General features: G+C 35.2%; 1 protein-coding gene across 1 annotated transcript in view; it reads left to right on the top strand.

Moving 5' to 3' along the window:
* VWA8 (von Willebrand factor A domain containing 8) overlaps nucleotides 1–16,427 on the top strand; it is a 394,275-nt gene that overhangs the window by 286,417 nt on the left and 91,431 nt on the right. Inside the window, exon 37 of the mRNA NM_015058.2 lies at nucleotides 3,546–3,747. Coding sequence (NP_055873.1) covers nucleotides 3,546–3,747 — 202 coding nt within the window. The remainder of the gene's footprint in view (nucleotides 1–3,545; nucleotides 3,748–16,427) is intronic.

Below are 16,427 nucleotides of genomic sequence, written 5' to 3'. Positions count from 1 at the left end.
AGCATTTAAACTAGGTAAACTGAGGATTTAAAAACAGAAACAATAAAGCTTGATCTGTCCCTTGAAGAACACAGGCATCATCACCTGGAGCCCGTCCCTTTCTGGGTGCATCCATGCCTTATTTCCCTCTTCCAACCTAAGCTTGCACCTGCTTTGGCCTACTTATCCTAGGTTCCTCTTTTTCCCTTTCTTTGCCCTCCATGCCAAAGCCTTCTTCCTCTAATCTTTCTACTCTATTTTGACCTATATTGCAATCACATCTGCTCCTCTCATGTACTCCCTCACATTGCCACTGAGCCCTCACAACACAGCGGTTGAAGTCTTGGCTAGAAGCTCTAGCAGAGTAGCCTGGAGGGCCTGCAGAGGAAGACCAGGGACAACAGAATCTGTCAGTCACCCAAAATGTCACCAGGCTTCCTTTCTTCCCCCTTCTCCAACCCCTAGAAGAAGATAGCTCGGCATGATAGCACAAATAACTCAGAAACACAGCTTCATTTCTTAGGACCCTTTAATCAGATTAAAAAAATATGAAAACAAAATCATTCAAAGAAATAAATATACTTCTTCCAACATATATAAGTATGACTTCTTGGAACATCCTAATGTGTTGGTTTAATGGAAAATGGCTTTTAATCATTTGAGGAAATTGCATATTCCATCTTAATTATATGCTCATTAAAATATACTAATTCAAGTAACAAAAGCAAATAACATCTTTTTTAACATATCTAAAACATTGATAATTTTTTCCAGTATTTATAGTCATTTCTCTCACTAGTTTTTTATTTCAGCGTTTTTCTCTTTTAACTTTCCGTATGAATCACATGTTATACCTGCCATGGAAAGAACATCTGGAAGAGCAGCTGTGTGCACAGCCCAGAGCCAGCTGGCCACCATAATTCATTCAGTTAGGGCTGCACTGTCCAATGGAAATATAATGAAAGCCATATATGTAATTATATATTTCTTGGTAGACACACTAAAATATTGTTTTAAGGTGAAATTAATTTTAATATATTTTATTTAACCCAATGTATCAAAAATATTATTATTTTGACATGTAGTCAATATGAAATTTTTAATGAAATATTTTACATTCCTTTTTTTCCCTAAGTCTCTGAAATTCAGTATGTATTTTACACTTAAAGCACATCTCCATTTGGACTTGCCACATTTCAAGTGTCAAGAGTCTGTTTCATTGTCAGTATGAATTTAGAGTCTGTTTCATTGTCAGTATGTCCTGAGTTTCTCTTAACTACTGCTTTTTTTGACATATGTATAAAATCCAAGGGAACAACCCATCTGGACTTCAGTTTTTTGCTAGTAGCTTAGATTTAGCATTCTGCTAGATATCAGGAATTTTCCATTTGATAGCTAATTTCAAATAATAGAAAATACAATAAAACTGTATGTAGCTTCAGGGCCAAAATGAATACATCACTTTTGCTCTCACATAATTTTCTTCAAAGTTTTATATTATCTGCATTTGTAAAGTAGTACTGCCAAGCTTTCATATGTGGCTGTGTATAAATTTAGGCTTCACTCTACTATAATTCTATGTGTTCATTTAAAACTTTGTTATTATTTATAAGGAAAACATTCTTTAAGTGAAGAAAAGATTTTAGACCTAGTGTGCAAATTGTAGTAAATATGTAATTTCTTCAGTAATTTTTTTTAAATAAATTAAAGAAATTGCCTGTAAATGTAAAGTTTTGCTATGAAGAGTTAAGTAGTGACAATTAGTAGGTACAGTGGTCAATAGAATCATACAGCTTGGGTGTTCTTGGCAGAATTTCAAACAACATAGTTACAAATGGATAAATTTCATTATTCTTGAATAGCCCCTTACTCCATCATCTGTAACTACTAAGTTTTTTCCTGCAGCAAATATTTATTGATAGAGTACCATGTATTGTATCAAATGTTACCTTCTTTGAGCCCTTCTGGGAGTCCTGTAAAGTAGCTCAGAACATATGGTCCCATCCCACTGTTGTTCTCATATGAACATTTTCTAAGTCTTCTGTGTCCAAGAGTGGCCGCCCTTGTCACTCTGTGTTTAGTATCAACTAAGGCAGACTGAAAAAAGGTCAAATTAGTCTTGATTTATCTTTTAGAATATTATAAGAATTTACCTAATATATAATGGTTTTGTGTTTTTCCAAAATCTACAATGATAGCTTGTTATGTTTTTCTTATCAGACCATCTCTTTAGACTATTTATTTCATATAGAAAATATCAGATGCATTTTGCAAGCCAACACTGACAATAGGAATTTATAATCTGTATCACTTTTGTATAATAAGAGCTATACTCAGATAAAGGAGATATGCAGTTGACTCTTACAGACAAATTTGCTTTCCTAGAAATTACTATACATACATATATATATACACACATATACAGATGTCAGAAATATATAATGAAATATGTGTGAAATATGTAAGAAATCTATACATTCCTTGTTATAGAGTCACGTAACTTTCTAAGTCAGAAAAGGCAAAATATCACATACAAATGCAGTCGAAATGCATAAACAAGAAATTGGTTTCAGCACTGACATTAGGCCTCTAAGGAGTGAGTCCAGTACTCACTCATTAGCGTGTGAGGTATGAACTGGTATAGGGTTCCTTTCTTCCTGACAGTGGAAGCTAGTGTCGTCCACTGTCAGGAAATACAGGAAAATGCAGAGAACCAGTAAATTACAGTGTATTTTTGCTTCTTACAGATGGTTCTGTTGATATCTTGTCTTTTAATGTGCTCATTATTAGAGTTCTGTCTTAGATCAGGCTGTTACAGCAGAATACTATAGAGTGGGTAGCTTAAGTGACAAATATTTATTTTCAGTCTGGAGGCTGGGAAAGCCAAAATAAAGGGGCCAGCCAATTCAGTTCCTAGTGAAGGCTGTCTTACAGAGGGCTAACTTCTTGCTGTATCCTAACATGAATGGGGGGGAAGGGAAACAGGCAGAGACCACATGCAAGTGCAAGCTTTCTGGTCTCTTCTCATAAGGGCCCTAATCCCATTCTATAAAAGAGGCTCTACCCTCACAACTTCATCTAAGCCTAACTACCTCCAAAAGTACCCACCTCCTAATACTATCATATTGGGGGTTAGGGCTTCAACATATGAATTTGGCGGGCGGGGGGATGCGGATACAAGCATTTAGTCCATAGCAAATTCTTTATAGCAAGTTTAGAGAACCTAATCAGTTTAAACCAGCTTTGTTTCCTGGCCTACCAATTAGTTATATACTGTGATCACTTATAAAAACATCTTTCTTAAAATAGTCTTTCTGGTTTTTTTTTATATTCATGATTGTCCTGCCTCATGTTTGCTTACGAACCCTGGGCATGTTTGTTTAAGAACTTTTGCTCATAGCGTATCCTCATAACCTGCCTATGTGGTGACAGAGGTAAGAGCAGGTATAAAATAATGAGTAGTGTGAGCATACTTTTTCAACAGTAAAGAACATTACAATGTGCAGTGTCATCCCTCCTGCTTTATTTTTGTGGTCTCTTAGCTTCACTTGGATTCCTTTTTCCAGATCAGAATCTCTCTCGCCGTATACCACATGGCTGTCGACCATTTCAGACACAGATGCACTGCTGGCTGAGTGGGACAAAAGCGGTGTTGTTACTGTTGATATGGGAGGTCACATCAGGCTTTGGGAAACTGGACTTGAACGTCTGCAGCGATCACTCATGGAATGGAGAAACATGATTGGACAAGATGACAGAAATATGCAGGTACCATTTGAATTCACCTTATCTCTTAGAGGTGCACATTCAAGTATAAATTTAGTTCCAGATGCCACAGTCATGAAAATTTCTGGGCCAGTGACTCAAAAATAGTTGCTTAAAGAACTAAAAGAATTTTTAGATACAAAATAAAAAGACAAAAACAAATTCTCCATCTAAATGATGAAAAAGTAAAAATGTGCCTTTTTTTCTGTCAGTGCTTAAATGTGCAGGTTACTGACATCACACCATATGAATACAATCAGCAGCTTTTAGTTTTTTAACCTTAAGCTCTAACCAGTTTCCAGTAGCACCTTTGCATCTGTTCTCACTTTTACCATCTTCAGTGTCAGCATCTCTACATGCTACCTAGGAAACAGAAACATTTAGGAACTAGAATACAGCAGATTATTACAAGGCCAGGACCTCTAAACTAGAGAAGGTGAGCAAAAATATGCATCCAATAGAACGTTTTTTATCAACTTCCTTATTTCCAAGTAATGCAAATTTAGTAGTCAACAATAAGTAGACCCAACCCTGCACTGGAGAAAAATATGGGAACAGGCCACCAAAGTGAAAAGAAACCTGATAACTCCAGAAATGACTCAGTCATCATCTAATCAATCTAGTTGCTGTCTGGAACTAATTTGAAGAATGAGGAAGGCTATATGCCCATATATACTAAAGCATATAATAAAGGGATTTATTTGCTATTCATTTATTTTAATCTTTGGAACAAAACTTCTCCTGTTCACGTTACTTTCTTATCCAACAAAAAGAAAAGTAGGTTCCTCCCAGCCAGGTTGTTCTGCAAAGAGCCGATTAGCAAAATAAGAAATTTCTACAAACTATTTCGTCAATACCTGATTAATAATTCCTATTTTATGTGATTATTTTTGTGATTTTCTTTAAACAGAAATAGATATATTCATGAATGAATAATAATTCTCTTAGATCCTTAAAAGCTTGTAGGAACATTTTGAAAACCTCAAACTCAAATCTTTTTGAAGGGGTATAAATATATTAATTTAATTAAGCTAAAACAAATGTGTGACTCTAAAATAAACATGTGATTAAGTAAGTGCCATGGACTGATTACAGCAACAGACTGAATGTTGGTTACTACTCATAACAATATTTAGAAAGCCAATTAATTATGGTCTGTTTCATTTATTATTCTAAACATTAGTTTCTTCTCTTTTTGAATTAAGCTCTTGTTCTCATTACAGTCATTGGTGCCTAATAGTAAATACTATTGTGTTTGAATTTCTATATTTTATATGTGGTAGAGATCAAAGGTCATGTTTTCCATCTGGTCAAGATTAAATTTATTTTTCACGATAGAACTTTACAAAGGACTTTTACTAATCATTTAATAATTGTGCTTGACTGCTACAAAAATGAATTTGTATTTGTTTTTTAATCATGTAGGCCTTCTCTTCCAGTTACTTCTCTGGCTATATATACATCTTTGTACTCCTAGCTTGTAGCACAATGATTGGTGCAATAAGCAATTAATATGTTTGTTTGTGCTCACACTCCTATATACTAAAATGTACTGGTAATTGAAACTATTTGATAACAAATGGAATTTTTCTTTTAAACTGTCACAAATTATTTGTTTAGATGTAACTGAATAAATATTTATTGAATGAGGATATATAGTTATTAAGTTAGAAATGAACAGAATTATGGATCTAACATCTCAAGAATAATCAAAATATTCAGCTACATTACACAGTGAAATATCTGAACTTTCCCTAAACCAAACATTTTCCAGGACATGTGTAACTTTATGTCTCCAGTTTAAAGTTCAGCTATAAGCTGGGCATGGTGGCACATGCCTGTAATCCCAGCTACTTGGGAGGCTGAGGCACAAGAATTGCTTGAACCTGGGAGGTGGAGGTTGCAGGAGCTGAGATCGAGCCACTGCCCCCCAGCCTGGGCAACAAAACAAGACCCTGTCTCTAAAAAAAAATAAAATAAAGCTCAGCTATTACAGAAATGAGACATATTTAGTAATAAAGTTGTATAATTCAGAATTGAATGATAGTTTCATTTGGAAAATTAGAATAGATGTTATCTGACATTCTCCTTTGATCCCTAAGTTCCCTTGATCCATTTTGGTTGATATTAAAAATGCATACTTATATACATACTCAAACATGAGTCTGTATTCTTATGTTCAAACAGACAAGACTAATTGTCTTAATAATCTATCATTGTTTTAATTTTTTGTCATATCTCTCTTCTTCCCTGCTTGGTAAATAATGAGACAGCTTATTTAATTGTTCTTATTTAGACCAGCTCATCTTATTAATTACAAGTGGTTTATACAACCAAACCTAAATAGAAGTCATTCCAGGGGCAACAGTAATAACAAGCAAATGTTTGTCTTTTACAGTTCCCTTTCTGTTTGATCTTTCAAGCTATTCTTCATTTATATACTCTTTATTCAGCACAGATCTGCTCCTAACTTCAGAGCTTGGAAAATGCCTTTCATAGAAGTATTGAAAAAAGAGAATAGGTTCTCCATACCCTGCTTACTTAACACTTGCTGGCTGCAAGCAGCTTCCCCATCACTGACAGAGTAACCTGATCTCCATCTAGTGGCCAGATGGACTTACTTTTTACATCATGGAAATTAACAGGCCTGCTGGCAATGAAAGGCTTATACACTCTTGTCTTGTATGGTTCCTGTTGAGCAAGATAGGCGCCTTTAGGTCAGCAGTGAGGGCTGGGCAAATAACCTGCCATGCCATCCACCACAAAAGATCCCCATGCCTCCTGATTCCTCTGCATCATAGCAAAGGAACTGTCCATATTGAGATAAACAGTATATTAATAATTAAATGTTTTATCACTACTCTGTTTGTCTTTGCTACATTTCAGCCTTCTGGAGTTATTAGCTTTGCCATTGTTGATTTGAGTTTTTGTTTTTGTTTAATGAATTTGTTGGTATTTTTATTTAATGAGTACAGCTTACAAGAGAGTATTTTTTGAGCTCTACATATAAAATGTGTTCATTAATTTTACATGCTTTGATAGAAACATGTGTTTTTCCTATAATAAATAACCATAACAACAAACTGAAAGGATTAATATAAATGTAGTTTTAAGAGACCATTATTAAGAATGCATATTTATTACTTGTAGATTTCATATTTTCAGAAACATGGGTTAATTATAAGTCAAAATTCTTCTGGCTATATTTAAAGTATATTATTCATACTTAGTTACATTTGTCTTCCTTCCAAGAAAGCTGTTAAAGCTATACCACAGATTTCCTCAGAAATCAGATCATCTTCTCTTGGTGATTATTTTTGTGGGAGCAAAAAGGCTTAAAAGGTTATAGCTTTCAAATGTTATTTTCTAATTAAAAGAAATCACAAAGTAAATCTTCTGTATATTGCTGGTAGGATCTCTCTGCAGCCTTTGAATAGTACTTAAGGAAGTAGTATATTCTTTAACAATGGTTGCAATCTTCTGAAATACAGTGTGAGACTGGAACTTTTTCATCATTATAGTGAAGACAGTGTCTGGTACACAATAAGCACACAACCAGCATTTGAAAATAAAAAGGAGTGAGGCATAGAAAGAAATACATGGAAAAGATAACTAATTTATGTTTAGCACTATTAGTCTATTCCCCCTTTTAAAGAGAATTTTCTAGGACTATGAATAAATGCAGTTTGATGTACTTAGGTAAGTAAGCTTGGCCTTTTCTATAATCTCTAGTCTAGCAGTTTTGATTTTTGAAGATCTCAGTTGGATATTAAGTTCTATTTTCAGTTTTAGAAACCACTGGGTTATTTAACTGGCTGACTATTAGTAAATTTACATGCTAGGTAATCTTCAGATCCTCTATGGGATTATGAAATTCTTTGTTCTTTTTAAGGAGCATAGTTTACTCTTATACATCATTCTTTACTTTGATCAATAACTCTGAAAAAATAGTCTGATTCAGTGGATCATTGTTACAGAACAATCCATATTTTGTAGGATTGTTATATGTACATGTGTCTTTGGGAATCTTTCTTGGCCCAGAAAGGCAATGCTTTTCTGAACTTTTATAATTTCTCACCATCCATGTCTCCTCGCCACGTGTCAGTAGAGCTGGGTTTCAGCAAGATGATCCAGCTGTTTCCCTATATGGTAACACTTGGGCATTGCCTGTAATTATTTTTTTATTGTTTATTCCTATTAGAGAAGTCCCAGCCATGAAAATTCATTTTGAATCTTTAAGATTTTCAGGAGTACTGAGTGAAAATGCAAGATCCCGGTGGCGTGCTAGTAAACTAGTTCTCATGGAGACTGGGGGGTTGTTAAGTTTGCCAGTTTCCATTTTGCAAACACCCCCACCATGATTTCAAGCTACCAAAGGTTAACAATCAGCTTGAAAAATTCCTAAGTATTTAGCAGTTATCTCTCATAGGCTGATATAGTTTAGCTCTATCATGCCACTTGCTTATTTATGGCTTTATCATCTAACTCCCCAAAGAGAATTATGGCAGTTACCTAACAGCAAGGCTTTCAGAAATGAGGCAGTAAGATGGTGATAGGGACAGAAGCAATGAGAGAAAAGGGAGAAAGGTACAGAGAACACAGATAAGATAGTATCATGTTAGCTCAGGAAATGTGGAAGCCTGCAGTTATCCCAGTAACCAATTGGCCATACTCTTCTTGAACCAGAAATTTGGTTTGAGTAAAGAATTGAAGAAAAATCTGCCCTGAAGTAAGATAGCACTCCTGGGTTCATGCATATGGGCCTCCTTTCTTATATAGATTGTGTTTCAGAGAGAAATTGCAAGTTGATTTTTACATTCCTCTAAAAGAAAAGCTTCCATTGGATCACAACATTATCAGTAATTGCTAAATACAATTAAAATTAAATCAGCAGTCACCTCCCTAAGGCAAGCAAATAAACAAGTTTATGATTTTAGGGAGGCTGTGAGGTTTCATTAACTTTTTATGCATATCCAATAAGAATGATACCCCTATAAATTATGAAAATTATAGAATGTTAAACTAATATTTAAAATAGAAATATTATCTTACTTTCACTCTTTAGAAAAGGTCTAACCTCAAAAAATTCCTTTTCAAATCATCAGCAGGACTATTTCAATCTCCTCTCAAGACAGGCCGTAGGATAATTGTGTTACCATATCACTAGTGCATATTGTTCAACAATATGATCAGCAAGTAAAGAGGTAATTTTAACAATATTAAAGTATAAAGAAAACAAATTAATTCTGCAATATACTGGCTATAAACCTGAATGTGAAATGCAATTAATAGGTTGACAGTCAATGACTCTAGAACTGTTACGGTTCTGAGCTCGTTAGGTATACACTTACATTTAAGTACTTACATTAAGTACTTACTTAATGTACTTAATTACTTACATTAAGTACTTACTTAAATGTAAATGTATACCTTACAATCACAATGGCTATAGAAATAAAAGCTTCTTGCTATTATATTTATGATTTTATTCATAAGCAGTACAACTTATTATTTAAGAGCATGAAATTTATAGTGTTCAAACCTAGATTAAAATCCTGGTTCAACTTTGTAGGTGATCTCTGGCAAATTACTTATTCTTTCAAAGCCTCACTTTCTAATCATAATATAAAAATAATTGAACCTTAACAAAGTTGTAAGAATGAAATACAGTAATGCCTGGTACAGAGTAAGTACTCAGTAAACAATAAAAAATAGAAACTTAGAATTTAAGTTAATATTGGGCTACGGAATTCTTCAATGCTTTATGGAGACAAAGCCAAATTTAAATGAAACAGTATTACTCAAATACCTAATATTAACTTATGATCCAATGAGTTACATAATTCATCATCTATACTAGTGTTAAAATGTAAGCTTTGTTTATAATCCTGTTTGGAAAAAATTTTGTCAGATCCAAAAAAGGAATTGTAAAAATGGTCTTTGCCTAAACCTGTCAGCTTGAAGAAAAGCAGGAAATCAATGATAGGACAATTGTCAGCAGAGGATTATAGTGTTTAGCCTTATTTAAAAGACAAATTAGAACAAGACCAAAAAACATGCAGCAAAGTATACATCATTTACTCTGAGTCCTGAGAACAGTAGAAAACAGGAAAACAACAACAACAGCAACAAAAACACAGGGCAAATTGGAATCCTGTCTTTCTAAGCTTTTCATAGCTTTTTCCTCCTCCTATTTTAAGCTTTTGTTAGCAACAGGACTTGAAGATACTGTGTAGTTCTGAAGGTTGTAATGTGGGGTGGCACTGAAATTTGGAAGATTAGTCGAAAGTCTGTCCAGGCCGTTGAGACATCCAGATTTTCTCCTCTATCCTATGCTTCTAGGCAGCTGGCTCTCCTCTGCCCTTACAAAAGGCACCAATTAGGACAGGAGGGAAACCATACAACAAGAAGATAAAGTGAAAGTCTGCTTTTTTTACTTAGACTCAAGGAAGGTAGTAGCATCTATATTTAAGAATTTCACTGAACTAAAGAACCAGATATACAGTATAACAAATGGAACACACACACACACACACACACACACACACACACACACACATCAAAGCATGTCCACTTGAAATTTTAGAACCCCATGGATAAAGAAATAAAGCCGATAACTTCTAATTTTGAGAGAAGTAGGGAACAGGTCATATAAAAGTGGTAGAAATCCTAATGGCACTGGGTTTCTCCAAAGCAGCATTGGAAACTAAAGAGAAAATCAAAGAGGGAAAAGGATTTCCGGCTAGAATTTATATCCAGCCAAGCTATTAATCAAGTAGACTAAAACCATTATTAAATGTGCAAATCTCAAAAACATTACATTATTTCTCAAGAAGCTACTGCATGATGTGCTGTCGCTAAAAAAAGGGAGTAAACCAAGAAAGAGGAAGACATAGGTGGAAAGAGTGGCAAAGGTAATTCCCAGTTGGGCAAAATTATCTAACATAAAAGCCTATTTGATAATAAAGTGCTGAATACCTCATGTAACTTACTGAATACATTATGTCTAGACTGTGACATAATATATTCAGTAAGTTACATGAGCTATTCAGCACTTTATTATCATTACTATACAGACAGTCCCCGACTTAACGACGGTTCAATTTAACAATTTTTCTACATCGTAAAGTAGAAAAATTGTTAAATTGAACCACGATGTAGAAAAATTGTTAAATTGAATCATCGTAAGTCGGGGACTGTATAGTAATGATAAGGTAAACAATATTGATTTGTTTATGATAGCACTTTATTAGGGGGAATGAGGGGAGAAAAAAATGAGTGATGTGTGTTTGAGGTGGGAGAGGAAAAATAATCCTTACCTTTCATAATAGGAAGTCAATAGACAATGTCTGAAATTGAAAAATAAGGAGACATAAGAATATTACTTAGAAATATGGAGGTAAATAGTAAAAGATGTAGTAAGCAGAGTTGAAGTAGTTACCTTTAACCTCTTAATTGCTTGAGGGGGAGACTGTGTCACAAGGGTGCTATTTTAAATTGTTATACATCTTGTAGTACTATTTGACTTATTAAACCGTGTATGCTTATTACTTTGATAAGAATTAAAAATTACTTCAAAATAATAACAAGTCAAAATAATAACAAGTAGGAATTTACCAGATGGAAAAGAGGAATGAGGGTGGGCATGAAACAATTCCTCAGAAGTAGAGATTAAATTTAACTCATCTTTGGATCCTTGAAACTTAAAACAGTACTTTTTTTTTATGTAACTGAATAAGCTGGTTAATTTTCTTTCTTTGACTTTAAAATGACTCAAGGATTCCAGTTCTGAATACAGTGGAACAAGCACTCACCTTGTCTCTCCCACTGAATGCAGCTATAAAACCTGGACAGAATGCATGAGCTACTATTCAAAGTCCCTGAAAAATAAATGATAGCATATGGATTGAGGAAGAAGACCAGAATTTGAACTACCTAAATGGTAATCAGCTATGAGTTTCTCATTTTTCCTCCAGAGTCTTCTGGTTTTGATTCAAGGCAGCTTGGAAATTGAAGTGGTACTCTCAGGAAACTAGGAATAGAAGGAAATTTTCTCAACCCGATAAAGGGCATCTGTAAAATCACCACAGCTGGCACCATATTTTAATGATAAGAGACTGAACGCTTTCCCTGTAATGCTGGGAATAAGGCAATGACCATGCTCACCATTCCTATTCAACATCACATGTATACCTATGTAACAAACCTGCACGTTGTGCACATGTACCCTAAAACTTAAAGTATAATCATAATAAAATAAAAAAATTTAAAAAAGAAAAGGAGCAATAAGAAAAGAAAAATAAATAAAAGATATCCAGATTAGGAAGGAAGAAATAAAACTGTCCCTATTTGCAAACAACATAATTGCCTACCTAGAAAATCCCACAGAATCTATTAAAAAAAAAAAAGACAAAACAAACAAGCAAAAGAAACTACTCTTAGAACTAATAAATGAGTTTATCGAAGCCAAAAATCAATTATATTTCTATATACTAACAATTGATAACTAACAATTAAAATTTAAAAATACATCTACCATTTACAAACAACTTTCTCTAAAAATGAAATTTTTTATTTAGGTATAAATCAATAAGACTTGTGCAGGATGTGTATGCTGAATACTGTAAAACATTAATGAAAGAAATCAAAGACCTAAATAAATGGAGAGATATACTGAGTTCATGGATTAGAAAACTCAACCTAATAATGATGTCAGTTCTCTCCAAATTGGCCTACAGATTTAACACAATTCCAATTCAATCTCTGCAGGATTTTGTTTATAGCTATAAACAAGCCAACTCTAAAATTTATATGGGAAGATAAATGAACTAAATGAACCAAAATAATTTTTAAAAGAAGAATAAAGTTGGAGAAATCATGCTACCTAATTTTAAGATTTACTATAAAACTACAATAATCAAGACAGTGCAATGTTCGCAAAAAAATTAAATCAATGAAACAGAATAGACTGTCCAAAATTAGACCCACAGACATATTGCCAACAGTTTTCAACAAAGATGCCACAACAGTTTAATGGAGAAAGGATAGTCAACAAATGGTGCTTTGACAATTGGACATCCATATGCAAAACAAGCACATGTTTAAAACCTTGTTGATTTTTCAATATGCAAATAAAATTACACAATAGTTACAAGCCCAGGAATAATAATAGGATACAATAGTAATAATAGTATACAATGCCATGTATACAATAATAATAGTATCCAATCCCATGTCATCATTCATTGTTGTAATTACATAGAGACTGTGAAGCTAATTCTTAAAAATAATTTTAAATGAATACTTTAAAACTTCTAAGGTCAAGAAAGCTAATTTGGTCAGAGTGTTAAAGAAAAAAAAAGTCTCAATCTATGGTATCATTTTTGGAGTAAGAAAATGTTCCAGGTATGTTATTTGCAGATGGAGAAACTAAGGCCCAGAGAGGTTACATAACTTGCCCAAGATCACACATCTGGTAAGTGGCAGAGTTAGTAGTTCTACAATGTGTGCTCTTTATCCACCATGCCCTACAGCCCAGGCAGCATTACCAACTTTCACTACCTAGTCAGATATCCAGAGTTTCCAGAATGCCTCCCCCTGCCAAAATCTGAAAATGCCAGTGGAGTTAAAAGCTTGGCATTTGTCTCTATATAACTCCATCAAATTATGTTGGTTCCCATAGAAGTCAGTGTTTCTGAGCAGCCAAATAATTTTCAGCTTCGTGGCAAGCAGTAAGAAAGATCCTTTTAGATGCTCTTTAATTGATAACAGAAAACTGAATTCTTGGCCAGGTGCAGTGGCTCACACTTGTAATCCCAGCACTTTGGGAAGCTGAGGTGGGCGGATCACAAGATCAAGAGATTGAGACCATCCTGGCCAACATGGTGAAACCCCGTCTCTACTAAAAATTCAAAAATTAGCTGGGTGTGGTGGCATGCGCCTGTAGTCCCAGCTACTTGGGAGGCTGAAGCAGGAGAATCGCTTGAACCCGGGATGCAGAGGTTTCAGTGAGCCGAAATCGTGCCAACCTGGCAATAGAGCGAGACTCCGTCTCAAAAAAAAAAAAAAAGAAACCCAATTCTCAGAGATTCTCATGCCATTTCTTAATCCCTAATACTCTTTCCTTTGATGAATAGATAAAATAAGTTAAAGTGTTGCAAAATTTCTATGTTGTTCAAGTGAGCAAGGCAGCAGGATCTGAAGTTGGTTTCCAGAAGAGTGAGTCTGCTGTCAGGAAAGGGGTAAAAACAAGCACAGTTGCAGCAGCGTGATTCAGTGCACAGAAGTGAGTTGATTAGGTATCCCATCACCACCCCTAAACAACGTTAAGGCTGTGTAGTAATAAGCTCATCAGTCTTTCCTTCCCCAGGATGAATGGGACTCTTGGGAGTCCTCAATCTCTCTTTAAGAAATGAGGCATTGAAAGACAGGACCCACACAGGGATACTGCTTCTCCTCAAGAATGTAGTGAAATCACTGTGGAGTGTTTAGAGGAAAGCCAATGCCTCTGGGATTTAAGAAGGGTGATCATCTGGCCAGGCACGGTGGCTCATGCCTGTAATCCCAACACTTTGGGAGGGTGAGGCAGGTGGATCACTTGAGGTCAACAGTTCAAGACCATCCTGGGCAACATGGAGAAACCCCATCTCTACTAAAAATACAAAAACTAGCCAGGCATGGTGGCATGCACCTGTAATTCCAGCTACTCAGGAGGCTGAGGCACAAAGTTCACTTGAACCTGGGAGGCAGAGATTGCAGTGAACCAAGATCATGCCACTGTACTCCAGCCTGGGTGATAGAGTGAGACTCTGTCTCAGAAAAAAAGAAAAAAAAAAGAGTGATCATCAGTTCCATTCACCAGTGGAAATGTAGCAGTGTGATGATTATGGGAAGGCTAGAGCCCAAACTTTTTCCTATATCAATATCATTTTTTAAAGTATTTATGATAAAGCAAAAGAACATGAAAACAGACATCAAGGTGGCATGGAGAAAAGTAGAGAAACCTCATTATTCCTTTTTGACAAATAGCATATGTTAAATCTGTGGTCATTTCATATGCTTGCTTAACCAAAACTAGTCATCAGTTTTCTGAACTGCCTTGGTTCAGTAGGTTGTCCCTTATCTCTATAGGACACGTAACAGTTTCTGATGTATTCTCTTATGAAAGTGTTTCCAGAAGTCACCAATTTGAACATATTTTTGAATTCTAATAAAAAGCTTTGTTGTTGTTGTCTACTTAAGTATTTCTGTATTTATGTTGAGATCAGAATTATGTAACAGCTGGATAGAGACATCAGTAAGATACTCTATTTGAATAGACCTAGGAGCACAGGTCCTGGGAGTAGATAAACAAGAAAGACTAACACCCTGGGAGTTACTCCAGTTGTGAACACTGTTTTCACTAATACTATTCTAATAGCAGTTTTAAAAGAAGGAAGAATAATCCCTAAAATGGTAGTAATAGTAGTAATAGCCAATACTTACATGTGCTAATCATATACCAATGCTGTTCTCAGTGTACAGAGACAAATGGCAGGCTTTTAATTCATTTAATTATTATAAAAACACTATATGAAAGGTACTGTTATTACTGCAATTTACAGATGAGGAAACCGAAGCACAGAGCTGTTAAGACACCAATGCACAGGGAGGTTAAATAACTTTCTTTGTACTGAAGCAATCTGCTTTTAAATGTATCATAACTTACCCATAGCCACGTTCTTACATACTTCTGACTGGAGAGGTAGGAAAAGAACTGCATTTCTGAGCTCCACTGATACAAGGTCATGATGGGTGATGTTGTTACTGATCAGCTTTCTCAGAAATTGTTTCAAACCTTGCTCCTGTCCAGTGATCTTTACCCTCAGTTTAAGGAATATGGATTTTAAAAATAATATAAAAGTTTTCCTTCTTGTTCATCCATTGACATAATTAAACTTTAATTGAACTTTCATACAAATACTTAAGGAGACACAGGCCTAACAGGGTTAAAATGATTTTCTGGAATGAGTTTCATTTAAAGCTCTGCAGGATTTGCTGGTAGGAAGATACAGGTATAAGAATAGGCCTTCTCCCATGTAATATTACTGCTCACTTTCCAGGCAGAGCATAGCCCATGTATTTCCTCCACGACCTATAGCCCAAGAACTGAACCACCAATGCTCTCTGCTTCCACTCAAAAACTGCTAAAAGCATTGGCTGTGTTTAGAAGGGTGGACATGGGAGTGATGTGGTCTGGGAAGGAAGTCCGAGTGAAGCTGGGCAACTGTGAGGCTGAGGTAATGACCAGGTGTGAGTTGTTGGAGACTGGCTGACTATGGGACGTGGAGGCAGACATTACGGATGTTTCTAGTTTGGATGTCTGGCAAAAAGGCAGATCACTGAAGGAACCAGGAAAGTTGGAGAGAAGATAGGGTTCAGGCATTGTAAATATGCTGTGTGAGGTAATCGTGACTGTGTTCAGTCAGAAATTGAAACGGGACAAGAGCTTCAAGCTAGTGAGAGAGATATTTATATAATGATCCTGAGCATGAAGGTTTTAGATGAAACCATAAAAATGGCAAGCTGCCAAGGAAAATGGAGCAATCAAGGAAAATGCTCAGGACAAATAAACTATGTTTTTAGAAACATGCATAGTCAAATGTTTCCTTTTTTTCAGACTGGAATCTCACCATTTTGCCTAG

The sequence above is a fragment of the Homo sapiens genome, chromosome 13, assembly GCF_000001405.40.
Source record: "Homo sapiens chromosome 13, GRCh38.p14 Primary Assembly".
Taxonomy (NCBI): Eukaryota; Metazoa; Chordata; class Mammalia; order Primates; family Hominidae; genus Homo; species Homo sapiens.
The sequence above is the reverse complement of the archived record's forward strand: the minus strand, read 5'-3'. Positions and strand labels throughout refer to the sequence as shown.